The sequence below is a fragment of the Homo sapiens genome, chromosome 12, assembly GCF_000001405.40.
Source record: "Homo sapiens chromosome 12, GRCh38.p14 Primary Assembly".
In the NCBI taxonomy this organism is placed as follows: Eukaryota; Metazoa; Chordata; class Mammalia; order Primates; family Hominidae; genus Homo; species Homo sapiens.
In genome coordinates, this window is record NC_000012.12 from 112,905,461 (window position 1) to 112,933,220 (window position 27,760).

General features: G+C 43.2%; 1 protein-coding gene across 23 annotated transcripts, besides 38 other annotated features; it reads left to right on the top strand.

Annotated features, from left to right (window-relative positions):
* Positions 1,343 to 1,782: an enhancer, noted in NCBI's record as "active region_7052". NCBI's record gives its function as "activates an Ori minimal core promoter by ATAC-STARR-seq in GM12878 lymphoblastoid cells {active_cell/tissue: GM12878}" and the evidence as "EXISTENCE:reporter gene assay evidence [ECO:0000049][PMID:35858748]".
* Positions 1,502 to 27,759, top strand: OAS1 (2'-5'-oligoadenylate synthetase 1). Of its 23 annotated transcripts, NR_175991.1 has the most exons (7): positions 1,502 to 1,759; positions 3,076 to 3,364; positions 5,591 to 5,775; positions 11,049 to 11,278; positions 12,087 to 12,240; positions 13,929 to 14,155; positions 26,418 to 27,759. NR_175991.1 is itself a non-coding variant. In NM_001320151.2 (6 exons), the coding sequence occupies exons 1-6, from the start codon at positions 1,580 to 1,582 to the stop codon at positions 26,460 to 26,462; spliced, it is 1,083 nt and encodes a 360-aa protein (NP_001307080.1). In that variant the 5' UTR covers positions 1,502 to 1,579; the 3' UTR covers positions 26,463 to 27,759. The 23 variants fall into 23 exon arrangements, 14 of the variants coding, with proteins under 14 accessions (NP_001307080.1, NP_001392954.1, NP_001392951.1 ...); NR_175993.1 differs by lacking the exon at positions 26,418 to 27,759 and having other exon boundaries at positions 5,591 to 5,798; positions 13,137 to 14,443; NR_175992.1 differs by lacking the exon at positions 26,418 to 27,759 and having other exon boundaries at positions 5,591 to 5,798; positions 13,929 to 14,443.
* Positions 7,446 to 7,615: an enhancer, noted in NCBI's record as "experimental_24142 CRE fragment used in MPRA reporter constructs". NCBI's record gives its function as "activates a minimal promoter by MPRAs in K562 erythroleukemia cells, with activity observed for both the introgressed and non-introgressed 12:113350796 variant alleles {active_cell/tissue: K562}" and the evidence as "EXISTENCE:reporter gene assay evidence [ECO:0000049][PMID:34662402]".
* Positions 15,441 to 15,610: an enhancer, noted in NCBI's record as "experimental_24146 CRE fragment used in MPRA reporter constructs". NCBI's record gives its function as "activates a minimal promoter by MPRAs in K562 erythroleukemia cells, with activity observed for both the introgressed and non-introgressed 12:113358791 variant alleles {active_cell/tissue: K562}" and the evidence as "EXISTENCE:reporter gene assay evidence [ECO:0000049][PMID:34662402]".
* Positions 15,441 to 15,613: a biological region, named in NCBI's record as "Neanderthal introgressed variant-containing enhancers experimental_24146 and experimental_24152".
* Positions 15,444 to 15,613: an enhancer, noted in NCBI's record as "experimental_24152 CRE fragment used in MPRA reporter constructs". NCBI's record gives its function as "activates a minimal promoter by MPRAs in K562 erythroleukemia cells, with activity observed for the introgressed 12:113358794 variant allele {active_cell/tissue: K562}" and the evidence as "EXISTENCE:reporter gene assay evidence [ECO:0000049][PMID:34662402]".
* Positions 15,968 to 16,137: an enhancer, noted in NCBI's record as "experimental_24159 CRE fragment used in MPRA reporter constructs". NCBI's record gives its function as "activates a minimal promoter by MPRAs in K562 erythroleukemia cells, with activity observed for the introgressed 12:113359318 variant allele {active_cell/tissue: K562}" and the evidence as "EXISTENCE:reporter gene assay evidence [ECO:0000049][PMID:34662402]".
* Positions 16,353 to 16,522: an enhancer, noted in NCBI's record as "experimental_24163 CRE fragment used in MPRA reporter constructs". NCBI's record gives its function as "activates a minimal promoter by MPRAs in K562 erythroleukemia cells, with activity observed for both the introgressed and non-introgressed 12:113359703 variant alleles {active_cell/tissue: K562}" and the evidence as "EXISTENCE:reporter gene assay evidence [ECO:0000049][PMID:34662402]".
* Positions 16,952 to 17,121: an enhancer, noted in NCBI's record as "experimental_24171 CRE fragment used in MPRA reporter constructs". NCBI's record gives its function as "activates a minimal promoter by MPRAs in K562 erythroleukemia cells, with activity observed for both the introgressed and non-introgressed 12:113360302 variant alleles {active_cell/tissue: K562}" and the evidence as "EXISTENCE:reporter gene assay evidence [ECO:0000049][PMID:34662402]".
* Positions 16,952 to 17,287: a biological region, named in NCBI's record as "Neanderthal introgressed variant-containing enhancers experimental_24171 and experimental_24176".
* Positions 17,118 to 17,287: an enhancer, noted in NCBI's record as "experimental_24176 CRE fragment used in MPRA reporter constructs". NCBI's record gives its function as "activates a minimal promoter by MPRAs in K562 erythroleukemia cells, with activity observed for both the introgressed and non-introgressed 12:113360468 variant alleles {active_cell/tissue: K562}" and the evidence as "EXISTENCE:reporter gene assay evidence [ECO:0000049][PMID:34662402]".
* Positions 19,624 to 19,793: an enhancer, noted in NCBI's record as "experimental_24215 CRE fragment used in MPRA reporter constructs". NCBI's record gives its function as "activates a minimal promoter by MPRAs in K562 erythroleukemia cells, with activity observed for both the introgressed and non-introgressed 12:113362974 variant alleles {active_cell/tissue: K562}" and the evidence as "EXISTENCE:reporter gene assay evidence [ECO:0000049][PMID:34662402]".
* Positions 19,624 to 19,928: a biological region, named in NCBI's record as "Neanderthal introgressed variant-containing enhancers experimental_24215 and experimental_24231".
* Positions 19,759 to 19,928: an enhancer, noted in NCBI's record as "experimental_24231 CRE fragment used in MPRA reporter constructs". NCBI's record gives its function as "activates a minimal promoter by MPRAs in K562 erythroleukemia cells, with activity observed for the non-introgressed 12:113363109 variant allele {active_cell/tissue: K562}" and the evidence as "EXISTENCE:reporter gene assay evidence [ECO:0000049][PMID:34662402]".
* Positions 20,572 to 20,741: an enhancer, noted in NCBI's record as "experimental_24264 CRE fragment used in MPRA reporter constructs". NCBI's record gives its function as "activates a minimal promoter by MPRAs in K562 erythroleukemia cells, with activity observed for both the introgressed and non-introgressed 12:113363922 variant alleles {active_cell/tissue: K562}" and the evidence as "EXISTENCE:reporter gene assay evidence [ECO:0000049][PMID:34662402]".
* Positions 20,572 to 20,791: a biological region, named in NCBI's record as "Neanderthal introgressed variant-containing enhancers experimental_24264 and experimental_24270".
* Positions 20,622 to 20,791: an enhancer, noted in NCBI's record as "experimental_24270 CRE fragment used in MPRA reporter constructs". NCBI's record gives its function as "activates a minimal promoter by MPRAs in K562 erythroleukemia cells, with activity observed for the introgressed 12:113363972 variant allele {active_cell/tissue: K562}" and the evidence as "EXISTENCE:reporter gene assay evidence [ECO:0000049][PMID:34662402]".
* Positions 20,982 to 21,151: an enhancer, noted in NCBI's record as "experimental_24275 CRE fragment used in MPRA reporter constructs". NCBI's record gives its function as "activates a minimal promoter by MPRAs in K562 erythroleukemia cells, with activity observed for both the introgressed and non-introgressed 12:113364332 variant alleles {active_cell/tissue: K562}" and the evidence as "EXISTENCE:reporter gene assay evidence [ECO:0000049][PMID:34662402]".
* Positions 20,982 to 21,338: a biological region, named in NCBI's record as "Sharpr-MPRA regulatory region 3381".
* Positions 21,025 to 21,194: an enhancer, noted in NCBI's record as "experimental_24278 CRE fragment used in MPRA reporter constructs". NCBI's record gives its function as "activates a minimal promoter by MPRAs in K562 erythroleukemia cells, with activity observed for both the introgressed and non-introgressed 12:113364375 or rs61478890 variant alleles {active_cell/tissue: K562}" and the evidence as "EXISTENCE:reporter gene assay evidence [ECO:0000049][PMID:34662402]".
* Positions 21,032 to 21,201: an enhancer, noted in NCBI's record as "experimental_24281 CRE fragment used in MPRA reporter constructs". NCBI's record gives its function as "activates a minimal promoter by MPRAs in K562 erythroleukemia cells, with activity observed for both the introgressed and non-introgressed 12:113364382 variant alleles {active_cell/tissue: K562}" and the evidence as "EXISTENCE:reporter gene assay evidence [ECO:0000049][PMID:34662402]".
* Positions 21,044 to 21,338: an enhancer, noted in NCBI's record as "tiled region #3381; HepG2 Activating DNase matched - State 9:DNaseU". NCBI's record gives its function as "activates a minimal TATA promoter and a strong SV40 promoter by Sharpr-MPRA in HepG2 cells {active_cell/tissue: HepG2}" and the evidence as "EXISTENCE:reporter gene assay evidence [ECO:0000049][PMID:27701403]".
* Position 21,110: a transcriptional cis regulatory region, noted in NCBI's record as "Neanderthal adaptively introgressed variant 12:113364375 (GRCh37/hg19 assembly coordinates) or rs61478890 in the experimental_24278 CRE". NCBI's record gives its function as "modulates activity of the experimental_24278 enhancer by MPRAs in K562 erythroleukemia cells {active_cell/tissue: K562}" and the evidence as "EXISTENCE:reporter gene assay evidence [ECO:0000049][PMID:34662402]".
* Positions 21,154 to 21,323: an enhancer, noted in NCBI's record as "experimental_24287 CRE fragment used in MPRA reporter constructs". NCBI's record gives its function as "activates a minimal promoter by MPRAs in K562 erythroleukemia cells, with activity observed for both the introgressed and non-introgressed 12:113364504 variant alleles {active_cell/tissue: K562}" and the evidence as "EXISTENCE:reporter gene assay evidence [ECO:0000049][PMID:34662402]".
* Positions 21,430 to 21,599: an enhancer, noted in NCBI's record as "experimental_24293 CRE fragment used in MPRA reporter constructs". NCBI's record gives its function as "activates a minimal promoter by MPRAs in K562 erythroleukemia cells, with activity observed for both the introgressed and non-introgressed 12:113364780 variant alleles {active_cell/tissue: K562}" and the evidence as "EXISTENCE:reporter gene assay evidence [ECO:0000049][PMID:34662402]".
* Positions 21,430 to 21,692: a biological region, named in NCBI's record as "Neanderthal introgressed variant-containing enhancers experimental_24293 and experimental_24295".
* Positions 21,523 to 21,692: an enhancer, noted in NCBI's record as "experimental_24295 CRE fragment used in MPRA reporter constructs". NCBI's record gives its function as "activates a minimal promoter by MPRAs in K562 erythroleukemia cells, with activity observed for the introgressed 12:113364873 variant allele {active_cell/tissue: K562}" and the evidence as "EXISTENCE:reporter gene assay evidence [ECO:0000049][PMID:34662402]".
* Positions 21,798 to 21,967: an enhancer, noted in NCBI's record as "experimental_24298 CRE fragment used in MPRA reporter constructs". NCBI's record gives its function as "activates a minimal promoter by MPRAs in K562 erythroleukemia cells, with activity observed for the introgressed 12:113365148 variant allele {active_cell/tissue: K562}" and the evidence as "EXISTENCE:reporter gene assay evidence [ECO:0000049][PMID:34662402]".
* Positions 21,798 to 22,020: a biological region, named in NCBI's record as "Neanderthal introgressed variant-containing enhancers experimental_24298, experimental_24301 and experimental_24306".
* Positions 21,811 to 21,980: an enhancer, noted in NCBI's record as "experimental_24301 CRE fragment used in MPRA reporter constructs". NCBI's record gives its function as "activates a minimal promoter by MPRAs in K562 erythroleukemia cells, with activity observed for both the introgressed and non-introgressed 12:113365161 variant alleles {active_cell/tissue: K562}" and the evidence as "EXISTENCE:reporter gene assay evidence [ECO:0000049][PMID:34662402]".
* Positions 21,851 to 22,020: an enhancer, noted in NCBI's record as "experimental_24306 CRE fragment used in MPRA reporter constructs". NCBI's record gives its function as "activates a minimal promoter by MPRAs in K562 erythroleukemia cells, with activity observed for both the introgressed and non-introgressed 12:113365201 variant alleles {active_cell/tissue: K562}" and the evidence as "EXISTENCE:reporter gene assay evidence [ECO:0000049][PMID:34662402]".
* Positions 22,317 to 22,486: an enhancer, noted in NCBI's record as "experimental_24317/24320 CRE fragment used in MPRA reporter constructs". NCBI's record gives its function as "activates a minimal promoter by MPRAs in K562 erythroleukemia cells, with activity observed for the introgressed 12:113365667 variant allele {active_cell/tissue: K562}" and the evidence as "EXISTENCE:reporter gene assay evidence [ECO:0000049][PMID:34662402]".
* Positions 22,317 to 22,647: a biological region, named in NCBI's record as "Neanderthal introgressed variant-containing enhancers experimental_24317/24320 and experimental_24338".
* Positions 22,478 to 22,647: an enhancer, noted in NCBI's record as "experimental_24338 CRE fragment used in MPRA reporter constructs". NCBI's record gives its function as "activates a minimal promoter by MPRAs in K562 erythroleukemia cells, with activity observed for both the introgressed and non-introgressed 12:113365828 or rs7316586 variant alleles {active_cell/tissue: K562}" and the evidence as "EXISTENCE:reporter gene assay evidence [ECO:0000049][PMID:34662402]".
* Position 22,563: a transcriptional cis regulatory region, noted in NCBI's record as "Neanderthal adaptively introgressed variant 12:113365828 (GRCh37/hg19 assembly coordinates) or rs7316586 in the experimental_24338 CRE". NCBI's record gives its function as "modulates activity of the experimental_24338 enhancer by MPRAs in K562 erythroleukemia cells {active_cell/tissue: K562}" and the evidence as "EXISTENCE:reporter gene assay evidence [ECO:0000049][PMID:34662402]".
* Positions 23,975 to 24,144: an enhancer, noted in NCBI's record as "experimental_24357 CRE fragment used in MPRA reporter constructs". NCBI's record gives its function as "activates a minimal promoter by MPRAs in K562 erythroleukemia cells, with activity observed for the introgressed 12:113367325 variant allele {active_cell/tissue: K562}" and the evidence as "EXISTENCE:reporter gene assay evidence [ECO:0000049][PMID:34662402]".
* Positions 23,975 to 24,151: a biological region, named in NCBI's record as "Neanderthal introgressed variant-containing enhancers experimental_24357 and experimental_24368".
* Positions 23,982 to 24,151: an enhancer, noted in NCBI's record as "experimental_24368 CRE fragment used in MPRA reporter constructs". NCBI's record gives its function as "activates a minimal promoter by MPRAs in K562 erythroleukemia cells, with activity observed for both the introgressed and non-introgressed 12:113367332 variant alleles {active_cell/tissue: K562}" and the evidence as "EXISTENCE:reporter gene assay evidence [ECO:0000049][PMID:34662402]".
* Positions 24,899 to 25,068: an enhancer, noted in NCBI's record as "experimental_24404 CRE fragment used in MPRA reporter constructs". NCBI's record gives its function as "activates a minimal promoter by MPRAs in K562 erythroleukemia cells, with activity observed for the introgressed 12:113368249 variant allele {active_cell/tissue: K562}" and the evidence as "EXISTENCE:reporter gene assay evidence [ECO:0000049][PMID:34662402]".

Consider the following 27,760-nt stretch of genomic DNA (forward strand, 5'->3'; position numbering starts at 1 on the left):
GTGTTTAGAGGGAAAGTTATAGCATTGAATGCATATATTAGGAGAAGAAAGATCTAACTCAGAGAGGGATGAACAGGTGAGGCATAGGGGATTTTAAGGTAGTGAAACTCTTGCAGGGCAGGGGAGCCCCAAAACTGGGACACCGTCCGGGAAGGCTCTTGGCTTCGTCCAGGAAGGAATTCAAGGGTGAGCTAGAGGAGGAAGAAAAAGGTTTATTGAGGCAGCAGGGTTACAGTTCTGTGACTGTCCCTGCAGAGCAGGGCCACCCCATAGGCAGTGCCTGGAGAGCAGCAGCTCAGGGCACTTCTATAGTCACATTCATACCCACTTTTAAATACGTGCAAATTAAGGGCAGGTTATTCAGAAATTTCTAGAAGAAGGGTGGTAACTGGGTCATTGCCAGGGAATGAGTAAACTGTTCATGGTGCTGGTGCTCATGCCAGCCAGTCTTCAATCTGGCCCTGAGTCAAGCCCCACCTCCTATCTCAAAACTATTCTGCATGGTGCTGTAATGGTGGATACATGACATGTTATGTTTGGCAAAATCCATAGAACTGTAGGACACAAGAGTGAACCTTAATGTAAACCTTAATGTAAATGGACTTTTGTTAATTATGATGTATTAATATCAATTCATCAATTGTAACAAATGTATCACAGTACTGTTAATAATAGAGGAACTTATTGGCAGGAGAGAGAGCTTATGGAACTCTCTGCACATTCAGCTCAATATTTCTGTAAGCCTAAAACTGCTGTGAGAAATAAAATCCAACCTGGGCAACATAGCAAGACCTTGTCTCTACAAAAAATAAAAAATGAGCTGGGTGCAGTAACGCATGCCTGTAGTCCCAGGTATTCAGGAGGCTGGGGCAGGAGGATCCCTTGAACCCAGGAAGTTGAGGTTGCACGAGTCATGATCATGCCCCTGCACTCCAGCCTGGATAACAAAGCAAGATCCTGTCTCCAAAAAATAATAAAATAAAATAAAAATCTACTAATTGAAAGGGAAAAAAGCATAGTATAATACCATTCTTAACAAAAAGAAAAGAGACCTGTGTTTGTGTGTGTGTTAACATTTGAAAAAAATCTGGAAAGCTCTATATCAAAACGTTTATAGAGGCAATTTTGTAGTGTTAGAATCATAGATGATCTTTCCACTTCCTGGTTTTTCTGACTTTTTTTCTTTTTGCAGTGGGCATGTATTGCTGGAAAATACCACAGACAACTGTGAAAGGATTTCATCAACAACAAAAAAAAGATAAAGAAGGAAACACAAAATCTGTTAAATAAGATTTATGTTGGCTGGAGGTTAAAATGCATTTCCAGAGCAGAGTTCAGAGAAAGGCTGGGCTGCTTGTTGCTGGCTAAAGGACAAAGGGTAAGTTTCAGGAAGCAGAAGAGTGAGCAGATGAAATTCAGCACTGGGATCAGGGGAGTGTCTGATTTGCAAAAGGAAAGTGCAAAGACAGCTCCTCCCTTCTGAGGAAACGAAACCAACAGCAGTCCAAGCTCAGTCAGCAGAAGAGATAAAAGCAAACAGGTCTGGGAGGCAGTTCTGTTGCCACTCTCTCTCCTGTCAATGATGGATCTCAGAAATACCCCAGCCAAATCTCTGGACAAGTTCATTGAAGACTATCTCTTGCCAGACACGTGTTTCCGCATGCAAATCAACCATGCCATTGACATCATCTGTGGGTTCCTGAAGGAAAGGTGCTTCCGAGGTAGCTCCTACCCTGTGTGTGTGTCCAAGGTGGTAAAGGTGAGTCCAGGCCTGCCTGGCCAGGGGAGGGGTGGCTGAATGTGCAAGAGTTGAGATTGAGAATGAGAGAGAGAGAGAGAGAGAAGCAAAAACCTAGAACCCAGGGTGCAAATGTGAGTACAGAGAGCTGAGATCTTCTGGGATGGTGGTTTCTTATTTATCCACACAGCATGTTAAAATAGATTCTGGGGTGAAATCCTACATCCCTATTATTAACAAGTGACCCTCCCCCCTACTTCCCGCTGAAGTTTATGAACCACTGTCCTGGGCGATGCCCATTTCAGAAATAGGGAACTGAATCCCAGCTCTGGTAAACAGTTTGCTAATTCGTGGCCAGGCTAGGGGCTCACCATTTCTGCAGTGAAGAATCATATGTTTTGAAAGCAAATAGCACCTGCTGGCTGCAAGACCTTGAGCAAGTCACTTAACTACTCTGTGTTCCAATTTCCTCAGCCATAATCCCCAATACTGTTGCAGTCTTGCCAGTGCACCTTAATGTAGCAGCTTCTCACTGAATTAGTACCCAAGGTTCTTTGTCCTGCATCCAAGAAAATTAAGGAACATGGACACAAACGTGAGCTTGGAGCAAAAGTTCAGTAAGCAAAAGAAGAAAGCTGTCTCCACTGTGGAGAGGGAAGTCTGAGTGGATTGCCAGATTGCAGCTGAATGCAAAAAACTTTTATAAGAAACCACTCTCCTCCCTGTAACTGTTTGAGAAACTTTTTATCAGTAAAGCTGTGCAACTTCCCTTACCTTATGCAGCTGTGGGTATATCTCTAGGCAAGCATAAAGCGCTGCTTCTCTTGTATGTATAACTGTGGATTTGTTTTAGGTAAGTCCCACTCCCTGCGCCAGTTTCAGGCAGGCCGCTCCTCCAGGGCCCAGCCTTGACCATTTACCTAACTGATTTTTCCTCTACTTTCCCTCAATACCTCATAGGGCCGTGTAGATTAAGTAAAATAGTAAGTGTGAACCACCCAGCATAAGCTAGTCCTGGGCATCGTAAAGGACAATGGGAAAAGAACACAGATCCTGGAAGAAGGCCCCCAGGTTTGAATTGTATTTGCCACCTACTAGCTGGGTGATGGGGCTGATATATTATCTCACTGAGCATCCATTTTCCCATCTGTAAAATGGGAACTAATGATAATGGCATCCAAATCATAGCATCATTGTGAGCATTATAGGAGTTTAAGACATGCAATGCCTTCAGAACAGTGGCTAGTGCTCCATAATGTTAGTGATTGCTCCTGTCATTTTATTTAGGGAGGTTTGCCTCACTAAGCATCAATTATTATTTTTGTCGTCTTTTTCAGGGTGGCTCCTCAGGCAAGGGCACCACCCTCAGAGGCCGATCTGACGCTGACCTGGTTGTCTTCCTCAGTCCTCTCACCACTTTTCAGGATCAGTTAAATCGCCGGGGAGAGTTCATCCAGGAAATTAGGAGACAGCTGGAAGCCTGTCAAAGAGAGAGAGCATTTTCCGTGAAGTTTGAGGTCCAGGCTCCACGCTGGGGCAACCCCCGTGCGCTCAGCTTCGTACTGAGTTCGCTCCAGCTCGGGGAGGGGGTGGAGTTCGATGTGCTGCCTGCCTTTGATGCCCTGGGTGAGAGCTCCCAGCTTCTTTTTCTCCCTCTTCCCATTTCTGAGCAGAAATCTCCCACAGTTTGAGAGCTTTTTGCCCCAACAGGGCATCTCTCTAAAGCAGGGTGGGAGGAGATCTTAGGATCTGTCCCGGGGCAAGAATGAATACGGTCATGATCTATCACAGGAGAGACATTAAACAGCAAATTGGCATAATGTGGGGACAAAGACATTTCTTACAGAACATCTGCAAGGCTTACTGGTTCTGTTTAAGGCAAAATGTGTGAATTTTATCTTTCTAAAATCAGGCAGCAAAGATGTGGCTTAAAGTTCATGTTACTCTCATCTTTGTCCCAACATGAGATCTCATCAAACGTATGCAGCACGTTGGGAGATAGATATTTATAATTTGCAGGAACATTTGGACAGGAAGTGTAACCTCTCAGAGGCTCCCTTGCCACATCAGGAGAATTGGTAAAACCACACTACCTGTATCATATCATTATTTTAAGTGATAAATGATCATCTACATTCAGCTCTGATGAGTAATAGGTGTTCAAAAATAGGAACTTCCAGCCAAGTGTGGTGGCTCATGCTTGTAATTCCAACACTTTTGGAGGCTGAGGCAGGAGGGTCGCTTGAGCCCAGGAGTTCAAGACCAGCCTGGGCAGCAAAGTGAAACCTCATCTCTACTAAAAATTTTAAAACATTAGCCAAGTGTGGTGGTACATGCCTGTGGTCGCAGTTATTCAGGACGCTGAGACTGAACGATCACATGAGGCCAGCCAAGGATTCGAGGTGTCAGTGAGCCACGAATGTACCACTGCACTCCATCCTAGGCACAGAGCAAGAGCAAGACCCTGTCTCAATCAATCAGTCAATCAGTCAAAACTATGAATTTCCCAGCTGTATATGAAGGCACCTCAAAACACCACAGTGAACTCACAGAGGGACACGGAATAGTTTAGATTTTAATTTTTTGAGGGAAATGCGATGACATCTGTCACACACCGCACAAACGGCTACTATTAAACTGAACTTACTGATTAGTGGCTACTAATTAATAGTTGGTCATTAAGCAGTAATTAGTGATTAATTATCAAGTAATTAGGACTTAATTAAAGGAACTGTCACAGTTTCCTTTAGTCCTAGGGCAGCCATGAAAAAAAAAATGCTGACTCTCCAAAGACACCAGGGTATGAGAAAGTTTTGGATTCTCTCCTTTGTGCCATCTCCTGTGTTGGGGGCTGAAGTACAATGGTTGTAAAAGACAAGAGGGAGAAGGCTGGTCACAGTGGCTCACGCCTGTAATCTCAGCACTTTGGGAGGCCAAAGTGGGGGGATCACTTGAAGTCAGGAATTCAAGACCAGCCTGGCCAACATGGTGAAATCTCACATCTACTAAAAATACAAAAATTAGCTGGGCGTGGTGGTGTGTGCCTGTAATCACAGCTACTCGGGAGGCTGAGGCAGGAGAATTGCTTGAACCCAGGAGATGGAGGTTGCAATGAGCCAAGATCATGCCATTGCACTCCAGCCTGGGCAACAGAGTGAGACTCCATCTCGAAAAAAAGAAAAAAGAAAAGAATATAAGGAGTGATTAAAAAAGAAAAGAAAAGAAAACTAAGTAGGGTGAAACAATAGATAGCCATGGGGGTTAGGGAGCTTTTTTAGACAGGGTCGTGAGGGAGGGTCCCTGAGCCTGAGTGGCGAGAAGGAGTGAGCCTTGGGGAGATCTGGAGGTTCTGGGAAGAGGAATGGCAAGTGCAGAGGCCCTGAAGCAGCAATGACCATGGCACATTTGAGGAAGAGAGAAAAAGTCAGAGAAGTAGAAAGTGGGCAAAGGAAGCAAGACAGGAGGTGAGGTGGGAGAGGTTCCAGAGACCAGATCACACCAGACATCATTGGCCACCATAAGATCTTTGGGTTTTAAAATTCCAGATGTTATGGGATGCAGGAAGCAGCATGATCAGCAGCATTCTCTAGGTGCCAGGTTGAGAACAGGCTGTGGGGGAACCTGTAAAGAGGTTGCTGCCATAGTTCCGGCGAGTGACGGTGGTGGCTTGGATGGGGTGATGGCAGTGGAGAGGGCAGGAGGGAGGATCAGGAATGGACCTCAAGACTTCCCAGCCCTGGGTCTGCTGCACTTTTCAATCAAACCCCATGGCCAGGGAGATTGTCCCCTCAGAGTGACTGAAGGAAATTCAGAGAAGAGCTGACACCTAAGTTGTAGATTTTGCCCGAACAGGTCAGTTGACTGGCGGCTATAAACCTAACCCCCAAATCTATGTCAAGCTCATCGAGGAGTGCACCGACCTGCAGAAAGAGGGCGAGTTCTCCACCTGCTTCACAGAACTACAGAGAGACTTCCTGAAGCAGCGCCCCACCAAGCTCAAGAGCCTCATCCGCCTAGTCAAGCACTGGTACCAAAATGTATGGCCCTCCCACCAGGCCTGGTGGGTCCTGTCTCGACTGGGAGCAGAGGAGGGGTGGGGGGAGGAGAGAAAGAAGGGAGTGAAGGGAAGAGGAGGGGGAGTGGTGGAGGGAAATAGAGGGATGGAAAAAGGAGAGAAAGGAAAAAGAGGTGGAGAGAGGAGCCTGCAACAGAAGGGAGAATGAAAGGGAAGGAAGAGAGAAAGGAAGGGATTTTGGTGTTCTGTTCACTGCTGTATCCCCAGAACTTAAAACAGAGCCTGGTGCATAATAGGTGTAAATAACTGTTGAATAAATGAATCAATGCTACATACACACACGCACGCACACACACACAGAGAGAGAGTCAACCACACTCTTCAGAAGGTGGATAAGTTAAAACAAGAGTTTCAAACAAATATATGTTCAGATGCCCTTTCCTCCCACTTACTGGCTGGCTGGCCTTAAGTAAGCAACTTAACCTTTCTGTTCTTTCTGCTTTCTTATCTGCAACGAGTAGCATGCCATAGCTAGAGTAACACGGCATATAGTTGGTCCTGATAAATGTAGCATATTTTAGCCACCATAGGAGTACACATAATAAAAGCTAACATGTAGTATGTGCTTAGCTTATCTATGTTTTGTGGATGTGATACAATTTTCTGTTCACTTTTAAATGCCCTGCATCTTAGTCAATTTTAACAGTGATTCTGTAAGTTAGATAAGGTTAGGCATTATTATTAAATCCATTTTACACCAAGAGAAACTTGGGTCAAAAAGAGAAACTCCTGGGTCACATGGCTCATTCGGCCAATAAGTAGCAGAAGTAAAATTTGAATTTGGCTGGGCGCGGTAGCTCACACCAGTAATCCCAGCACTTTGGGAAGCCAAGGCAGGTAGATTGCTTGAGCCCAGGAGTTCAAGACTAGCCTGAGCAACATGGCAAAACCTCGTCTCTACAAAATAAACTAAAAATTTAGCCAGGTGTGATGGTGAGCACCTGTAGCCCCAGCTACTGGGTAGGCTGAGGTGGGAGGATCGCTTGAGCCTGGGAGGAGGAGGTTGCAGTAAGTCAGGATTGCACTACTGCCCTCCAGCCTGTGAGACAGAGCAAGATCTTCTCTCAAACAAACAAACAAACAAACAAACAAAAACTCGAATTTGGGTCTATTGACTTAAGAGTTTGCCTGATAATAATAGGCATTCAATGTATATTTCTTGAATGAACGAATGAATGAAAATAATCAGGAATAAACTTTCCAATTTAAAAGTAACACCTCTAGGTAAAAAAAAGACAATCATTTAGTTGCCAGACTTCTAAGTGTTTGCTGTTCTATGAATTGTAATCATGGAGCCTGAGCATTGTAGAATTTACAAAAGCAGTTCCTGACAAAAGCAGCACTGCCCCCAGGGACATATTGAAAATTAATGAGGGTGTTTTTGGTAACCATGGTGATGGGAGGACATGGGTGCTACTTATATTTAGTGGAAAGAAGACAAGAATGCTAGTTATTGTACAATGATCAAGAGAGTCCTGCACAGCCAAGAATTGTCTTTTTCTTTCTTTCTTGATGCTGTTCTCCTTTAAAACAAGACAAGATTAACAATAATTTAACTCCACTAACCACCATCATCACCACCTCCAACTTATATGCTACATTTCTTGTATATTTCAAGTCTGTTTATATTTTCAAGTGCCTCGAAGTATTATTGTTTTATAGCCAAATGTTTAGTTAATCTGCTCACAGATTTACCACTTTCTTCACTATTCATTCTGTCTTACACCTCTAACATTCCATCTGGGGTAATTTTCCTAAATGATCATGCATCCTTTGGGATTTCTTTTGATGATGGTCTATTGGTAGTAAACTCTCTCAGTTATTGTTTGTCTGAAAATGTCATGCTTTTGCCTTCATTGTTGAAGGGTGCTTTTGCTGGGTGGTCATTTCAGTATATTGAATATATCATTCCATCTTCCAGTGTCATCATTAAAAAGTCAGTTGCCAGTCTAACTGCAGCTCTTTTATAAGTAACCTGTCTTATTCTTCTGGCTGCATGTAAAAGTTTTCTCTTTGTCTTTGATTTTGTTTAGCTTCAATCTGCTGTGTCTTAATGATGGGTTCCTATTGTTTGTCCTGATTGGGATTCCGTTAAGATTCCTGAATCTGTGGGTAGATATCTTTAATCAGTTTTGAAACTTCTCAGCCATTCTTCTAAAATATTGATTCTCCTTCATTCTCTCCTCACCTTCTAGAATTCCAATTAAATGTATGTTAGACCCTGCTCTATCTTTCATATCTCTATACTCTCTTCTGTGTTTTTCATCCTTTTGTCTATTTTTCCATGCTTTATTCTGAATAGTTCCTTCTAATCTACCTTCCAATTAACTAATTTTCTCTTTAGCTATATCTAATTTGCTGTAATTAATTACAGTTGCCATTTTTATCCTAAAATTTCTATTTCATATTTTTGTATCTGCCATGGTACTTCTTATGGCTTTTAATTCCCTGCTAACTATTTAAAGTTCTTATTTTATCCTGTGAATATGATATTCCTAGTTATTTTATTTTTAATTTTTATTATTTGTTAATCTTATGTTTTATTTACACTTCTTTTCTGTGACATGAGCACACACAGATTCATGTGTATACATATATGGCTCTGATACCTCTCCTTTCCTGTCCTCATTCAAACCACTGATCACAGAGAGAGGACTATTTTTTTTTATTTTTAATTTTTCTATTTCAATAGGTTTTTGGGGGAACAGGTGGTGTTTGGTTACATGAATAAGTTCTTTAGTGGTGATTTTGGTGCACCCATCACCCAAACAGTGTACATTGTACCCAATGTGTAATCTTTTAACCCTTGCCACACCCCACCCTTTCCCCGCAGTCCGCAAAGTCCCATGTATCATTCTTATGCCTTTGCTTCCTCATAGCTTAGCTCCCACATATGAGTGAGAACATACAATGTTTGGTTTTCCATTCCTGAGTTATTTAATTAAAATAATAGTATCCAATTCCATCCAGGTTGCTGTGAATGCCATTATTTTGTTCCTTTTTATGGTTGAGTAGTATTCCATGGTGTGTTTGTGTGTGTATAACATTTTTCTTTATCCACTCATTGATTGATGGGCATTTGGGCTGGTTCCATATTTTTGCAATTGCAAATTGTGCTGTTATAAACATGTGTGTGCAAGTATCTTTTTTGTATAATGACTTCTTTTCCTCTGGGTAGATACCTAGTAGTGGGATTGCTGGATCAAATGGTAGATCTACTTTTAGTTCTATAAGGAATCTCCACACTGTTTTCCATAGTGGTTGTATGAGTTTACATTCCCACCAATGGTGTAAAAGTGTTCCCTTTTCACCACATCCACACCAACATCTATTATTGTTTGATTTTTTATTATGACCATTCTTGCAGGAGTGAGGTGGTATCACATTGTGGTTTTGATTTGCATTTCCCTGATAATTAGGGATGTTGAGCATTTTTCCATATGCTTGTTGGTATTTGTTTTTTTTTTTTTTTTTTCATTATTATACTTTAAGTTTTAGGGTACATGTGCACAATGTGCAGGTTAGTTACATATGTATACATGTGCCATGCTGGTGTGCTGCACCCATTAACCCGTCATTTAGCATTAGGTATATCTCCTAATGCTATCCCTCCCCAATTCCCCCCACCCCGCTTGTTGGTATTTGTATATCTTCATTTGAGAATTCTCTGTTCATGTCCTTAGCCCACTTTTTGATGAGATTTTTTTTTTCTTGCTGATTCGTTTGAGTTCTTTGTAGATTCTGGATATTAGTTGGATGTATAGATTGTGAAGATTTTCTCCCATTCTGTGGGTTGTCTGTTAACTCTGCTAATTATTTCTTTTGCTTTGCAGAAGCTTTTTAGTTTAATTAAGTCCCATCTATTTATCTTTGTTTTTGTTGCATTTGCTTTTGGGTTCTTGGTCATGAAGTCTTTGCCTAAGCCAATGTGTAGGAGGGTTTTTCCAATATTATCTTCTAGAATCTTTATGGTTTCAGGTCTTAGATTTAAGTATTTGATCGATTTTGAGTTGAATTTTGTATAAGGGGAGAGAGAAGGATTCAGTTTCATTCTTCTACATGCAACTTGCCAATTATCCTAGGACCATTTGTTGAATAGGGTGTCCTTTCCCCATTTTATGTTTTTGTTTGGTTTGTCAAAGATCAGTTGGCTGTAAGTGTTTGGCTTTATTTCTGGGTTATCTATTCTGTTCCATTTGTCTACGTGACTATTTTTATACCAGTACCATGTTGTTTTGGTGACTATGGCCTTACAGTATAGTTTGAAGTCTGATAATGTAATGCCTCCAGATTTGTTCTTTTTACTTAGTCTTGCTTTGGCTATGTGAGCTCTTTTTTGGTGCCATATGAATTTTAGGATTGTTTTTTCTAGTTCTGTGAAGAATGATGGTGGTATTTTGATGGGAATTGCATTGAATTTGTAGATTGTTTTTGGGAGTATGGTCATTTTCACAATATTGATTCTACCCATTCATGAGCATGGGATGTGTTTCCATTTGTTTGTGTCATCTATGATTTTCTTTCAGCAATGTTTTGTAGTTTTCCTTGTAGAGTTCCTAGTTATTTTAAAGTCTGTGTTCGGTCTTTCAGCATTTAAAGTTTGTAGGTTTATTACTATTTCTCTTCTTTCTGTTGGTCATAACTCTTAGTGTTTTGTTTCCTTGTGTGCCTGGTTACATATGTGCTGGTCATTGTATTTGAAAATTATGTGTGAAATAATTTGAGGTTTTGGATTATGTATATTCCTCCAGAAAGAATTTCATTTGCTTCTGTGCATTTCTTAGGAACATTACAAGTCCTTCTTCTCAGTTAATTTTCGTAGTATCTTTATCAGATAGGTGCTATTACAACCACTCACTTAGCAGATGAAAATCATGAGGCTCTGAGAGTCTAAGTCATCTACTTAGAATTGGACAATGGTGAAGCCAGGATTCAAACCCACATCAATAAGAATCCAGCGCTCTTAACAAGGGGCCAGTACACTTTTTTAAAAAATAAAAGGCTAGATAGTAAATATTTTAGACTTTGTGGACTGCACAGCCTCTGTTGCAACTACTCAACCCTGCCTTTGTAGCATGAATGCAGTCATAAACTATACATAAATGAATGAGCCTGGATTCGTTCCAAGGAAACTTTATAAAAACAGGTGGCAGGCTGGATTTGGCCCATGAGAAGTGTAGTTTACACAAAAGTTGAGCAAACCAATTTTTTTCTGATTGTTTTTCCTCTTCTCAGTGTAAGAAGAAGCTTGGGAAGCTGCCACCTCAGTATGCCCTGGAGCTCCTGACGGTCTATGCTTGGGAGCGAGGGAGCATGAAAACACATTTCAACACAGCCCAGGGATTTCGGACGGTCTTGGAATTAGTCATAAACTACCAGCAACTCTGCATCTACTGGACAAAGTATTATGACTTTAAAAACCCCATTATTGAAAAGTACCTGAGAAGGCAGCTCACGAAACCCAGGTATGCTATCCCCACATGGCTTAGCTCCCCTATGTAAATGAACACCTGGATACAGGTACAGTGCCTTGGAAATGGAGGAGGTGGGAGGGCTCCCCACTTAGTGAGAATCTCCTGTTGCCCATCATTGTACTGGGCATTTTACTACTGCCATCTGTTTTAAACACCTACCTCCAACCCTGTGAGGCAGGCACTATGCCAATTATTTTACAGGTGAGTAAACTGAGGTTCTGAGAGGTAAGGAGCTTGTCCAACCCTTAACAGAAAATGAGTAAAATAGCTGCAGTTTGAACTGAAATAAGAACAGCAGCAACAACAATGATAGTAATTGCTCCCAGGTATTGAAAGCTTGTTGTAAGACTAACACATGCTAATATAATAGTAAAAATTATTAGCAATATTACTGATATGTATGTTATGTTCTAGTCGCTGTGCTGAGCATTTCATATAACTGGGCTTTTTCTATCCTCACAGCATAGCCTTTGAGATAGGTATGTGGAACTATTCCCATTTTACAGATAAGAATCCTGAGGCTTAGAGAGTTCAAGTGACCTACCCAAGGGCACATCACTGATAAAGGGCAGAGGTGGGATTCAAACCCACATCTGTCAGGTGCAAGTGCAAGGCTCCTTCTCCTCATGCTCACTGCCTGCTGGGGAATAGGGCACTGGGGACATACCCCAGGGAGCCCTTCCTCATGTTCTGAGTCCCAGTTCATCCCATGCTGCTATTTTGCTCTCCCAGGAGCATCTGGACTCCCTAGACAGAGCCCCAGCTTCTCACCTGTCCCTCTCTAAATGCTGCTCTGCAGGCCTGTGATCCTGGACCCGGCGGACCCTACAGGAAACTTGGGTGGTGGAGACCCAAAGGGTTGGAGGCAGCTGGCACAAGAGGCTGAGGCCTGGCTGAATTACCCATGCTTTAAGAATTGGGATGGGTCCCCAGTGAGCTCCTGGATTCTGCTGGTGAGACCTCCTGCTTCCTCCCTGCCATTCATCCCTGCCCCTCTCCATGAAGCTTGAGACATATAGCTGGAGACCATTCTTTCCAAAGAACTTACCTCTTGCCAAAGGCCATTTATATTCATATAGTGACAGGCTGTGCTCCATATTTTACAGTCATTTTGGTCACAATCGAGGGTTTCTGGAATTTTCACATCCCTTGTCCAGAATTCATTCCCCTAAGAGTAATAATAAATAATCTCTAACACCATTTATTGACTGTCTGCTTCGGGCTCAGGTTCTGTCCTAAGCCCTTTAATATGCACTCTCTCATTAAATAGTCACAACAATCCCATGAGGCATTTTTAAAAATTTTTTATTATTTTAGATTCAGAGGGCACATGTGCCATTTGTTACACAGCTATATTGTGTAATGGTGGGGTTTGGGCCTCTATTGATCCTGTCGCCCAAATAGTGAACAGAGTACCCAAAAAGAATTTTTTCAACCTTTGCCTTTCTCCCTTCCTCCTCCCTGTTGGAGTCCCTAGTGTCTATTGTTCCCATCTTTAGCAGATGTTAAGTATTTGATTTTCTGTTTCTGGGTTAATTCACTTCGGATAATGGCCTCCAGCTGCAACCATGATTTCATTCTTTCTTATGGCTGCATAATACTCCATGGTGTAGATATACCACACTTTCTTTATCCAGTTCACACTGATGGGCACTTAAGTTGATTCCATGACTTTGCTATTGTGAATCGTACTGCGATAAACATACGAGTGCCGGTGTCTTTTGATAGAATGATTTCTTTACCTTTGGGTAGATACCGAGTAGTGGGATTGCTGGGTTGAATGGACATTCTACTTTTAGTTATTTGAAAAGTCCCATGAGGCATGTTTTCTATCATTCCCATCTTACAGATGAGACAAAGGCTCAGAGAGGTGAGGTCACTTGCTCAAGGACATCAGCTAACAAGTGGTGGAAATGGAATTCAAGCTCAGTGGACTCTAAAGCCAGTGCTCATGTCACTGTGCTAAACAGCCTGCCTTGTCACATCCCCACCTCTCATCTGACCAATGGGAGACTCTGAGCAGCTGAGTGACTTGGGTTGTCACACAGCTAAACAGGGGCAAAGGACCCAGTCTTGGATCTTTCCACCTCCAAGCAGGAATCTGTCTGATTCCAGGGGATTGATGATGTTGCAGATGGCTAGGAAGCAGACTCCAGGATGGAATTTAGTATGCAGGATGTTCTGGGGGAGAGCCACTGGAACCAGCACTCAGGGAAAGGGGGGAAGAAAGGATAGGAAGGAAGCATGAAAGAGAATAGGGAGAAGTGAACAGGGATGCAGAGCGAATGCCAGTTTCAGCCAACTCCAAGGACAGCCCTGGAGCTGGAATGGCCTTTAGAGCTGCCCCATGGTGACAGAGGTGGCCAGGCTTCTATACCCCTACGTGGATCACTCACTGTGCTTGGGCACCTTGGGAAAGGGCATGGCTTTGAGCAAAAGGCTCTCTGCAGCTGAGGCAACCCCTAAAAGGGCTGACGGCTGAAGTCTGTCTGCTGACCACTGTCCCAGCAGCTGGGGCTTGTTAGTCCTTCCTCAAAGGGGGATCCAGATGGCATGTCACAGTGTCTACCGTAAATGCTCACTGAATCCAGCTGCAATGCAGGAAGACTCCCTGATGTGATCATGTGTCTCACCCTTTCAGGCTGAAAGCAACAGTGCAGACGATGAGACCGACGATCCCAGGAGGTATCAGAAATATGGTTACATTGGAACACATGAGTACCCTCATTTCTCTCATAGACCCAGCACACTCCAGGCAGCATCCACCCCACAGGCAGAAGAGGACTGGACCTGCACCATCCTCTGAATGCCAGTGCATCTTGGGGGAAAGGGCTCCAGTGTTATCTGGACCAGTTCCTTCATTTTCAGGTGGGACTCTTGATCCAGAGAGGACAAAGCTCCTCAGTGAGCTGGTGTATAATCCAGGACAGAACCCAGGTCTCCTGACTCCTGGCCTTCTATGCCCTCTATCCTATCATAGATAACATTCTCCACAGCCTCACTTCATTCCACCTATTCTCTGAAAATATTCCCTGAGAGAGAACAGAGAGATTTAGATAAGAGAATGAAATTCCAGCCTTGACTTTCTTCTGTGCACCTGATGGGAGGGTAATGTCTAATGTATTATCAATAACAATAAAAATAAAGCAAATACCATTTATTGGGTGTTTATTAACTTCAAGGCACAGAGCCAAGAAGTACAGATGCATATCTAGGGGTATTGTGTGTGTATATACATTGATTCAACAAGAAATATTTATTGAGCACTTACTATGTGCCAAGCATAGCTCTGGGCACTGGGAATATAGCAATGCACAAAAGCAGACAGAAATCCCTGTCCTCATGACCCTGCAGAGCCAAGACTTCCAGAATTTTTTAAATAAAAAAATCCCTGTCCTCATGGAGTTGACATTTGTGCAAAACATCTTAATGTTAGATGGTTTTCCTATTACTAATAATTCTGAAATAAGCATCCTTGATTTATCCTTTCTCCATATCTCTGAGAAAAATTATAGAACCTCCCTGTGTGACACAGCAGCCACTAGCCACATGTATCAAATGCTTAAAATGTAGCTAGTCTAAATCTACATGTGCTGTGAGTGCAAGGTATATACTTGGTTTCAAAGACTTAGTACAAATGAAAAGAATGCCAAGTTCTTGCCAACTGATAATTTTTTTAATTGTGTGCTGAAATGACAATTTTTAAATATATTTGAGTTAAATCAAATGAACTTCATCTCTTTCTTTTCCCTTTTTAATTGTGGCTACTAGAAAATGTGAAATCATACATGTGGCTTGTGTTATATTATGTATTTCTATTGGACAGCTCTGTCCTCCAAGGTAAATCACTGGATTAAAGATTCGACTATACTGACTTACATTGCCACATTGTCACACTGTCCTTGGGACCAAGAATCAACATATCATTCATAAGACTCTAAAATATAAAACTCTCATAAATACTCACAAAAGAACCTAGCATGCTCTGATCACCTGAGTTGCTGGTCACTTTTGGTGGCTGGTAAGCAGCCTTTGGTCCGTCCAGATTATATTCTTCCATTTAGTCCCCCCACATCCCTGTGAGATGGGTTTTGTTGTTATTCTCATAATATTAAGTGGAATAACTTGAGGTTCTAAGAGGTTACAGTGCTTGCCCAGGGTCACCCAGCTGGTCAGGGGCAGAGTCTGAACTTGAACCCTAATCCTTCTCTCTCTAAAGCTCATGTTCTTAATCACTGTAGCATGGTCTTAATGTGTCCTCATTCATTGAAAGCTTATGTTTTCCTACTCTGGCGCCATGAGAACCAGAAGCATCAATGTCCAGGGGCAGGGAAAGATGAATGTCCCAGCTCAACCTGAGCACAGATTCACCCTTCCTCGGTCTTTTTGTCCTATTTGTAGACTGGATTAGATGATGCCAGTCTACTGATTCAAATGTGAATCTCTTTCAGAAAAACCCTCACAGATACACCTAGAAATGATGTTTCACCAGCTATCTTGGCACCCTTAGCCCAGTCAACTTGTCACATAAAATCAATCATCACACACTCCATGCTGATAGGCAAGTGTGGACATCCCAATGTAATGGCTTCATTGTATTTTACTGTGTGGAAAATGCACTTGTGTTGCCTTTTGAGAGTGTTTCATTTTATAGCAATGCCACAACCAACAGTAGATTAATGGAATCAGTAATTAGTTGCTTGATCGAAGAGCCACATGGCCACGTGATCAGCCTTCCATCTACAACAGGACCCAGGAGTATACCGGGATTGTTTTTCAAAGGGCATAGACATTTTTGCTGCAAATGACATGGGCTTACTCCAGAGTCCTGGAGGGGTCTGTGTTATAATTCTCTAAATAGATATTGCCATAATCTCTGAATGACACCTTTTCCCATGACTAACACTTTGAACACCATGGGGTCTGCCAGGCTGGTGTGGGCCAAGTAGAGGGGCGACTTGCACCACAGCCTATACCAGCTGCAGAGCCCTTTAGGACTTAATAAAAGGGTGCTAATTTCTGTACTTCCCTGGCTCTGAGATGTAATAGTGGTTTTAATTTACTATCCTGGCCAGGGAGGTGGCAGTTTCAAAGGTATCCCCATGACCTTCCTCACTGTGATAGCCCTCACTTAACCCTCAGGCCAATGTCGGGTAGTGTCTTTTACCAAGCATGTCCTTTTTGAATATACATTCAGGGGACAGGGAAATGATCACCAGGTCGGTCCATAGACACAGTGGGCAAATGACAAGCCTGACTTGGCCAGGGCTCCATTTTTCACTCTTGGCTCCTATATGCCCCTACTCTGATGGGGACAGAATCTGATGACGCTTTTCGTTATCAGTGTTGATCCTCTGCCCAACAGTCTTAGAAATGTTGAGTGACTCCCCTTTTCCAGTGTATCATCCTCTGAATAAATGGCCATAGGTCCTTTGGGGGAAACCATTACTATATATGCTATGGTGTCACAGCATCCTTTCCCAAGGGGACTCTGCCTCCTCTTTGTTAATGGGGTCTAGTCTGAAAACTGGGTTGGTCAGTTCCAAAAATCAGGAAGGGATGATGACTTTTTATTGGAATGGCTCCCCTTAACCCCCTGGTCGTCCGGCCTTGATTTCTTCTAATGGTATAAATTGAGTAGTGCCCTTTCAAGATACTCATCCACTAAGTCACTAAGAGGCCACATTGTGTTAACCAGGTCCCTAACCCTGTATCAGTCACGACCCCTGGCTGCCCCTCCAACCTCACCATTCATTATAGTCATTGCACCCACCTGGCTTCTATTGCTCTGGGAGTCCTGCCTGCCCTATTGCCCTTATCAATCCAAGCTCTGTAACAGCCCCTCTTCCCAGGAGGCCACCACCAGAACACCTCATGATGCAGGTGTCCCTCTCTCCACACATTCCTTATGGCCTCGGGGAATGTTTTGTCCCCTGGGACTCTATTTCCAGACTTACATAGTAAACATATCCACTCCTCTTCACTGTGCCCATTTCCCTTGGCCTCTTAATACCTTCTTCCATCAGCTCCACAGCAATTCTGGAATTTCATACTTTTCTGCATTTCTAGGAGCCATCCTAGGAGTCAGGGAAAACCTCGGCTTCACAAGTAAATGGGACTTCAGTTGTGTGCCAACATGCCTGGCTAATTTTTAAATTTTTTTGTAGAGATGGGGTCTTGCTGTGTTGTCCAGGCTGGTCTTGAACTCCTGGCCTCAAACAATCTTTCCTCCTTGGCCACTCAAAGTGCTGGGATCACAGCTACCATTCCCACACACATTTTCTTATTTTTAAAGGCTGTATGTGCACTGTATACATTAAATGTGTGCACTGTATACATTAACTGTGTGCACTGTATACATTAATTTTCTTTAACGAATTTATCCATTTATAGTTGCTTTGGTTGTTTCCACTTGATTATTGTGAATAGTGCTGCAGTAAACATGGGAATGCAGTTATCTCTTTGATATCCTGATTTCAATTCTTTTGGATACTCAGAAGTGGGATTGCTGGAACATATCGTAGTTCCATTTTTAATTTTTTGAGGAACCTCCATACTGTTTTTCACAGTGGCTCACCAACAGTGTGCAAGAGTTCCCATCCCTCCACATCCTCACACTTGTTATCTTTTGTTCATTCTTTAAAAAATGATAGCCATCCTACCAGGAGTAAGGTGATATTGCATCGTGATTTTGATTTGCACTTCTCTGATAATTAGTGATATTGAGTATATTTTCATAGACCTGTTATCCATTTGTGTGTCTTCTTTGGAGAAAGATCTATTCCTATCCTTAGCCCATTTTTAAATCAAGTTATTAATTTTTTTGCTAGTGAGTGGTAGGAGTTCCTTACATATTGTGGAGATTAACCCTTATTAGATGTATGGTTTGTGAATGTTTTCTTCATTCCATAGATTGTCTTTTCAGCCCGTTGATTGTTTCCTTTGCTATGCAGAAGCTTTTTAGTCTGATGTAGTCCAAGTTGCCTATTTTTGCTTTTGTTGCCTGTGCTTTGCATACGTGGCCACCTGATCTTTGACAAGATTGCCAAGAATACACAATGGGGAAAGGACAGTGTCTTCAACAAATGGTGTTTGGAAAGCTGAATGTCCACATGCAAAAGAATAAAATTGGACCCTTACCTTACAGCATACACAAAAATCAACTCAAAATGGATTAAAGACTTAAACGTAAGACCTGAAACTGAAACTACTAGAAGAAAACTTAGGGGAAAACTTCATGACATTGGTCTTTCCAGTGATTTCAGGGATGTGACACCAAAAGCACAGACAACAAAAGGCATTTATTTTTATATGGCATGTGAGGAAGGGGTTCAGTTCCAGTTCTTCCAATGTGGATGCTCAATTATCCCAGCAGCATTTATTGAACGGATCATGTTCTCTCCACTTCTTTGCAAAGCCACCTCTTAAATATTCCCAGAGCCCATCTATGTGGGAGTCTGTTTCTGGACTCTGCTCTTTTCCATTGGTCTATTTTTTGTGTCCTTGAGTTAACACAACCTTGTCTTAATTACTATAACCTTATAATTCTTAGTATCTTTGGGAGAACTCTGTTCTCTTTTTATCAAGTCATTGGTTCCTCTTGGCCCTTTTTATTTCTACATTAATTTTATACTCAATTTGTGAAGCTCCTCCCAAAATATGGGGAGGCATTTGATTAGAATTACACATATTAGCTTGGGAAGAATAACATCTATATTTTATATATATATCTATATAGAATTTGATGATTCTGATCCATGAACTTGGAGTTTCTTTTCATTAATTTTTGTCCTCTTTAGTGACAGTGACAATGTTTTATCATTTTCCCTGCAGAGGTCTTTCATGGTTTTTGTCATATGTATTCCCAAGTATTTGTTTCAGTACTATCGTACTTGGCATGCTTTCTTTAATTTCATTTTGCAATGGTTGCTTCATGGGAGACTTAAACATTTTCAGTGGTGATATTTGGCTATAGCATTATAGGTGATCTTTATACTTTTCTAAATTTTCTGTGGCCACGGGAAATAATAAAGACACTTTTCTTGCACAGAAAAAAAAAACTTTTGGGAAGTATTTCTCACAGCTAAGATCTGATAGTTTACGCAAAGTTGGCAGGCACAGGCTACAGAAAGCTCTGGGGTGCTGTTGTTTGGAGCTGCTGGTTCAAGGACAAATTCACAAGATTTGGAAACAGAGGACCAAGTGTGTAAGGACGAGGGAAACTATGGTATAACATTGAAGCACCTGAGCTGGAAATTTCTGAGCCCTCAGAGATAAATTTCCTCAGCTCCTCCCTGCCGAGAAAACAAAACTAAAAAGAGTTAATGTTTAGCCAACAGAAATGAGAGTGAAGTTCACAGAAGAAATTAGGGCACAGCTGGAAGTGTTCAAAATGAGGAAACGTTCAATGTCAAGTTTGAGATCCAGGGTTGATGGGTGAACTCTGCACGCTCAGCTTCATGTTAGGTCTCCCAGCTCAACGAGGGGGTGAATTTTGGTGTACTGCTGTCTTTGAGGCCCTGCGTGAACTCTCCCACACCCTCCCCCTTTTCCTCATACAAATCCCCTCCTTGCACACCCCTCACGCCTGTCTGTGAGGTGCCAGGGCCCCTCTCCCAGCCAACCGCAGGCCAGTATTGCCCCTCCCCAAACTTCCCTTCAGGCAGATCAAACCCAGGGCTCTGGAGTCACACTGCCTGGGCTCAAATCCTGCTTCTGAATCTTATGAGACATCAAGTCACTTACCTAACTCCTTGGTGAAACAGGCTCTCCTCTGTCAAATAGGTGTGCATGCTTTGGGAGGCCAAGGCAGGAGGATTGCTTGAGCCCAGGAGTTCAAGACCAGCCTGGGTAACATAGTGAGACCCTGTCTCTATAAAAATAAAAAAATTAGCCAGGTGTGGTGGCTCATGCCTGTAGTCCCAGCTACTCAGGAGGCTGAGGAGGAAGAATTCCTTGAGCCCACGAAGTCAAGGCTGCAGTGAGCCATGATCAAGCCGCTGCACTCCAGCCTGGGCAACAGAATGCGACCCTGTCTCAGAAATAAGTAAATAAATAAATACATAAATAAATTTGGGTGCAATTGTGGCTCTTAGTGTTACAGAGAGGACTGAAGGAGCTAATGGATGATGGATTTATGGCAGTACCTCACATATAGCTTATCCTAAAGGAAGTTAGAGCTTATTATGATGATTATTCAAAAATATTTATCAAAGGTCTGCCCTGGGCCATGTTCTGAGCTAAGTGCTGGGGATGCAAAGATGAGCAAGAGACTCCTCAGGGACAATTGTCTGATGAGATAACAGGCACTATTTATGAGAGGTCCAATCAATACAGTTCTATTTATCTTATAATTATCCAATAAATGATATAATAATTTATTAGAGGGCCAATAAATCTGATGGCAGGAGCCTGTGGGGGGTAATGGCCAGGTCTCACTATTGTGCCCAGGCTGGTCTTGAACTCCTGGCCTCAAGCATTCCTTCTGCCTCCACCTCCCAGCATGCTGCAATTACAGAGGCATGAACAACTGCACCTGGCCTAAAATTTTATGTTAATAAAAAAATGCATGTATTTGAGGAGTACGACATGATGCTTGAATATCATACTGTATCGGGGGAAACCAGCCCCCGATATTTCAATGTAGGTTCTTTTCTATTTTCCCCAAGTGTCGGCTGGTCTGAGAAATAAAGGGAAAGAGTACAAAAGAGATAAATTTTAAAGCTGGGTGTCCAGGGCAGACATCACATGTCGGCAGGTTCTGTGGTGCCCCCTGAGCCATAAAACCAGCAAGTTTTTATTAGCAATCTTCAAAGGGAGGAAATGTACATATAGGGTGTGGGTCACAGAGAACACATGATTCAAGGGCGACAAAAGATCACAAGGCAGAAGGTCAGGGTGAGATCACAAGGTCAGGGCAAAACTAGAATTACTAAGGAAGTTTCATGTTCCACTGTGCATGCATTGTCATTGATAAACATCTTAACAGTGTTCAAGAGCAGAGAACCAGTCTGACTAGAATTCGCCAGGCTGGAATTTCCTAATCCTAGCAAGCCTGGGGGTGCTGCAGGAGACCAGGGCGTGTTTCATCCCTTATCTGCAACTGGATAAGGCAGACACCCCCAGAGCGGCCATTTTAGAGGCCCCCCGGGAATGCATTCTTTTCCCAGGGCTGTTAATTATTAATATTCCTTACTGGGGAAAGAATTCAGGGATATTTCTCTTACCTGTTTTTGGTAATAAGAGAAATATGGCTCTGTCTTGCCTGGCTCCCAGGCAGTCAGACCTAATGGTTATCTCCCTTGTTCCCTGAACATCGCTATTATCCTGTTCTTCTTTCAAGGTGCCCAGATTTCATATTGTTCAAACACACATGCTTTACGAACAATTTGTGCAGTTAACGCAATCATCACAGGGTCCTGAGGCAACATACATCCTCAGCTTATGAAGATGACAGGATTAAGAGATTAAAGACAGACATAGGAAATTATGAGAGTATTGATTGAGGAAGTGATAAATGTCCATGAAATCTTCACAATTTATGTTCTTCTGTCATGGCTTCAGTAGGTCCCTCCGTTCGGGGTCCCTGACTTCCCACAACATCACTGTATACCTGAAATTAGCATTGATTCTAATTCTCTGGTCACACGTCATTCAGAGCATAGGATCTTCGGTGGATTTAAGAAGTGCCTCCCTCCCTATTCTCAGCCATGTGACTCCCAGAATCCTATGAAATTAAAGATCTTGTGTTTGGCCATAGGAGACTTCTATTCACCATCTTTGTTCTCTCCCACAAATGGCGAGGCCTCCAGTCTCCCACATGACAGCTTTGTACTAAAATCAACCTTACTCTATAGAACATGCATGATTGCAGCAGGACTACTATGATCTTGGTTTGATGAATTAGTTAGGATAACATTAGCTGCTGTAACAAACAGACCCCCAAGCTGCAGCATGACTCAGATGCAATATAAGTGTCTTTTTCACTTATATCAAGCAAGAATGACCAGATTTTCTGATTTTTTTTTCCGCTGTGCTAATGTAGGGAGAAGTTGTTGGAGGTCACGTCACAGTTCACAGCAACCATCTATGTTTGGGAGCAAGGATGCTGGAAATAGAATCCAGCATACTTGTAGCTTGTCCATAATTACAGACACCTTTGCATTTACTGAACTGAATCCTATGACTTGAAGACCAAAGACTGTAGCATGCCTGAAGGGACAGCCTCAGAACTGTGGATGCCTGTCCCTCTCCTGGTTTGGGTTTGTGCTGACCACAGGCAAACCCACTGAACTCAGGATCACTGCATAAAGTGACGTATTAAGCCTAGTGCCAGGATCTTTAGTGTTTGCAGGAAGGTCTCATGATTTTTCTGCTAACTCAGCTAATAGGTAGTCCTCTGTCCCTTCAAGTTACAAACACATCCTTCATTCAGGAATTTGAATGTTCAGTCCTTGATATTTTATCAACCCTTCATTCTGTGGTCAAAGGGCAGACGTCTCTCCCAGTTAAGACTGGAAGTTAGCAGCCTGCCTCCAGGGATGGGGTTGTGGTTGCCTTCTGCTCTCTCTGTTCCTCTGGGAAGCAGCAGAATCATTCCATGGGAGGACTAGAGCAGTTCTTTCTTGAGAGAAGAGATTTACTCCTTCCAAGTGTATTGGTTAGTGATTGCTACATAACAAACTACCCCAAAACTCTCAGTAGCTTAAAACAACTGTGAAGTGATTGATGCTCATGTGAGCATGGGTTGGTTGATCCAGGCTGGGCTCAGCTGGGCACCTCTGTATATGCTGTGGGTTCTCCTGAGCTCAACTCCTTCCTGCCAGTTGCATTTAAGGCTGTTCTGTGCGTGTCTTCTGGAGCCCAGGCTGAATGGGCTTTGGAGATGGCAGAAGCACAAGCGAGTAAACAGAGACACATGAAGCCATTTAAGGCCTCAGCCCAGCACTGACGTGCCGTCACTTCTCACATTCCACTGGCCATGCAAGTCACATGGCTGAGCAAACTCAAGGACTTGGGAAGTAACCATCGTCTTTAGTGGGAGGAACTACAACATCCCATGGCAAAGCATGGATCCAGGAAGCAGTGAAATGGGGGCCAGTGACTCAGTTTACCACACTGAGGTCTGGCAGATGGCTAGAAGTGGCGCTTTCTCTTGAGGATTGGGGGAGAGGGTGTGTTTATGGATTCTACAGCAATCCCAGGCCTGGGAACCTCTGTAAGTCCCTTTCCCAGGGCCTCTACATCTCTCCTCTACATGGTCCCGTCTAACTCCTGCCTCATCTAGATTTCTGTACCACACCCAGCTTCTTGTGAGCATCTCTTTGCTGCCAGAGGGCCCTGTGAGACAAGCCCCCAAGATGACCCCATGCCAGAATTGTCACCCATGTGATTCACATCTGGACCAGAGGAAATGCCTCCCAAATGAAGCCCATCCTGCCCCCATCAGGCAACTACAGGCCACTTCAGCTTTCTTGGGTGTAAGGCAGACCTCAGAATCTCTGTGTCTCCCAGCTAGATGGAAAGCTTTCCAAGGGGTCCTTGGGAAGCCAGCTGGATTGAGGCAAGGAATATCACACCCCCATCCATCTCCCAAAGGGAAGCAACACATCACCTGACAACAGTTCTCTCCAGGGCAATCTCTTTGCCAAACATTGCTCCTCTCCACACTCCAACCCCTTTATGTATTCTTAACATGACTGAGGAGCCCCTTTATAAATTCTGCATTTGGGAGTTTGTTGCATATTCTGTTTGGTTCCTGGAGTTACCTACACAAGAGCCTCAGGCAATGAGATTTTATTTATCAAACCATTACCAGATGTCAGGTGCTGTCCCAAACACTTTGTAAATGTTAACCCATTTAATCCTCATATAAATCCTATGAGGTAGGTGCTATTAACATCTTTATTTTAGAGATAGGGAAGCTGAGGCACAGAGAGGTTAAGTAATTAGCCCAAAGTCACACAGAAGGCAACTGTCTTCTCACCCAGGCAAGAAGAGTCCTTTTTTATGATAATAAGGTGGAAGAAGGCAAGGGGGAGATAAGCAAGAAGATGATAATGATGATGGTGGCCTTCCCTGAGTTACTGTGCTTAGCACTTAGTGTGCGTGGCCTTGCCTTGCCTGTCCTTTGAGACAGGTATGTCAGACTCTCCCCATTTCGCAGATGAATAAACTGAGGCTGATATAGTTTGAATGTATGTCTCCACCCAAATCTCATGTTGAAATGTAATCCCCAGTGTTGGAGGTGGGGCCTGTTGGGAGGTGATTGGATCATGGGGGTGGATTTCTCATGGGTAGTTTAACACCATCGCCTTGGTGCTATCCTTATGATAGTGAGTACATTCTCATGAGACCTGGTTGTTTAAAACTGGGTGGCACCTCCTCCCCACTTTCTCTCACTCCTGCTTTCGCCACATGATATGCCTGCTCCCCCTTTGCCTTCTGCTATGATTGTAAGCCTCCTGAGGCCTCCCCAGAAGCCAAGCAGACGTCAGTACCATGCTTCCTGTAAAGCCTGCAGAACCATGAGCCGATTAAACCTCTTTTTCTTTATAAATTACCCAGTCTCAGATATCCCTTAATAGCAATGCAAGAATGGCCTGATACAGAGGCTTTGAGAGGTCAAGTGACCTGCCCAAGGGCACACCACTGATAAAGGACAGATGTGGGATTTGAACCCACCTTTGTTAGGCCCCAGTGCAAGGCCCCTTCTCCTCATGCTCACTGCCCACTGCGGAGCTGGGCACTTGGGACACACCCTAGGGAGCTGTGCTCTGCTGGGGCCTTCCTCATGCCCCAAGTCCCTGCCTGCCCAAGGCCGGTGCTCTGAGTCTCCTACAGCCCCCTCCTCAGCCTCACTGGCCTCAGTCATCTTGGTTCAGGGAAGGACTAAGGTCCCCTTTGGTCCCTGCCAATCTGCACCCCACCCCAGTGTGACCCTCAAGAGCCTGACTCTGGCCTTTTACAGAATAAATCTGAACAAAATCAGGGTTCATTTTAATAGCAACAGGCTGCTGATGCAGACCTTATCAACTCCATCAAACTGTGTTCTTTCAAATGTTACGCTCCCCTGGGGGTGTCCCACACCCTGACGTCACACATTCACTCAGTGAAGCCCATATTCATTCGGGGAGCTCTTTCTTTCTCTCTTCTCTAACACACACTCTCCTTGGTTAGCTGGCTGCTGATCAACATTTCTGGATATACTGGTTTTCAGGAAAATATGATGGTTGGCTTCCAATCCCAGATTTTTCACTGATGGGTTCCATATTTACACCATCTTGGCCACAGTCTCTGGGTCACCATTTCCACACATACCCACACACCATAAAGAGAGGCTTTTTCTGAGTCTTCTGTTCATGCAGTCTGGAATTGTATTTGCTTTTGTTTTGGGGCATCCTGGGCAGCTCATTCCACTAATAGGCATAACCATAACCATTGCAGTCTCCACTTACTGACATTTACAACTTTCCAGGCACATGCTAGGGACCTTACATTCATTATTTCATTTTATTCTCACATCACAACCTTGTGAGGTGGAGGAGCATGATGGAAGGAGGAAGGAGCTAAAAGCAAAGAATCTGGAGTCCGACTGCCTGGGTTCAAATCCTAGCTCTACCAATTTCCAGCTCTGTAACATCGAGCTAATTTCCTAACCTCTCTATGCCATTTCCCTATCTCTAAAAGGAAGCTGACAATAGCATCTATCTCATAGGATTTGTACGAAGATTAAATGAGTCAATATTTATAAAGTGTTCGGAATGATACCTGACATCTGGTAATGGTTTGATAAATAAAATCCATTTTAATGATGAGGAAACAGGCTCAGAAGAGGGCGCTCATTTGCTCATGTGGTACAGATAGGTTCCAGACTCAAACTCAAGACCATCTGACTCTAAAACATCTAAAACTGTTGCCCCGCATTCTCTTCATTTGACAGATAATAAAACTGAGGCTCAGAGAAGCTAAGTGACTCGCCTGGGACTGCACAGCAAATCAAGACAAATAAGACCTAGGGTCTCCTGACTGCCAGAGTGGAGATGCTTCTATAGGCTTTTCTCACTGATGCTCTCTGGGCAGACAGGCTCCTCAATATGAGAGTGACACACACTCCTTTCTTCATTTTCAGGTAAACCTCACACTGGTTGGCAGAAGGAACTATACCAATAATTAGTGAACATGCGGTGAATTTGCAACAGACAAGAGGAGCCTCATTATCCTATAGTTTCCAGGTTGCTTAGGGAGGCAGAAATCACAGCAAGGAAAACCTTCAATAATAAACAGACGTCTCATAAAATTAATTGCAACCCAACCTCTCTCTCTACTTAAAATTAGCATCTATTTCCAGCTCTGCTTTCAATGCCCCATATGAATACATGTGAACTCCCTCCCTCTCTTCCTCCCTGTCTCCTTCTCTCTCTCTCTGTCCCTCATTAAAAAATAAAATTTAAGAAAAAAATACAAGGTAGATTTACACAAATAGTGGGATCTCAGTCTTGAGTTAGCTGTGTATGACTGAAAAGGATGCTGTGGTTAATAATTATCATAAAAACAATGACATGGCCGGGCACAGTGGCTCACGCCTGTAATCCCAGAACTTTGGGAGGCCGAGGCAGGCAGATCACTTGAGGCCAGGAGTTTGAGACCAGCCTGGCCAACATGGTGAAACTGCATCTCTACTAAAAATACAAAAATTAGCCGGGCATCAATGGCCAGCCCCTGTAATCCCAGCTAATCAGGAGTCTGAGGCAGGCGAATCACTTGAACCTGGGGGCTGGTGGTTGCAGTGAGCCGAGCTCACACCACTGCACTCCAGCCTGGGCGACAGAGTGAGACTACATCTCAAAAAAACAAAAACAAACAAGCAAAAAAAACCCCACAGTAACACAAAAGTAATAAAACTGCTGCTATTTACTCAGTGCTTATCTGATGCCAGCCACTTTGCTAAGCCTATGAATGCATTATTTCCCCGTTGCTACAGATGAGAGAATTGAGGTTCAGACAGGTTGAAATCATTGCTCCCAAAGTCACACAACTGGTGAGTGGCAGAGCTGGGATGCAAACCCTAAACTGCCAGCCCTCAAAGCCTGTGCTCTTAATCTCCACCCTGCTGTGCTTCCTTGTCCATTTAATTAAGCTCCACAGGCACACATTCCACGCCCTCCTTTGCTGTACAATCCCAGGCAAGTCGCTCAGCTTCTCTGAGCCTCAGTTTCATAATCTGTCAAATGGAGGTAACACAAATAATTCCTAGTTGTGACCAAGAATCATCATAGAAATCTGCCATTTCCAGCCTATTGTGCAATTCCTCAAGCACTGTGACTCCAAGTGGCATCAGCTCCTGGAAGAACACACTGTCTTACTGTTGTTTCCTCCTTTGTCAACTGATCCCCCCTTGAACCTCACTCTACCTCTGCTCTCAATGCCCCATCTACTGCCACCTGATTAAATAAAATCTTTTTTGAAAATCAT

Excerpts from the sequence above, each read along its gene's own strand:
- OAS1 (NM_001032409.3), top strand. The coding sequence starts at position 1,580 with ATGATGGATCTCAGAAATACCCCAGCCAAATCTCTGGACAAGTTCATT. Across the intron at positions 1,760-3,075 it reads GTGTGTCCAAGGTGGTAAAG|GGTGGCTCCTCAGGCAAGGG; the intron begins GTGAGTCCAGGC and ends CGTCTTTTTCAG. Across the intron at positions 12,241-14,026 it reads TGAGCTCCTGGATTCTGCTG|ACCCAGCACACTCCAGGCAG; the intron begins GTGAGACCTCCT and ends TTTCTCTCATAG.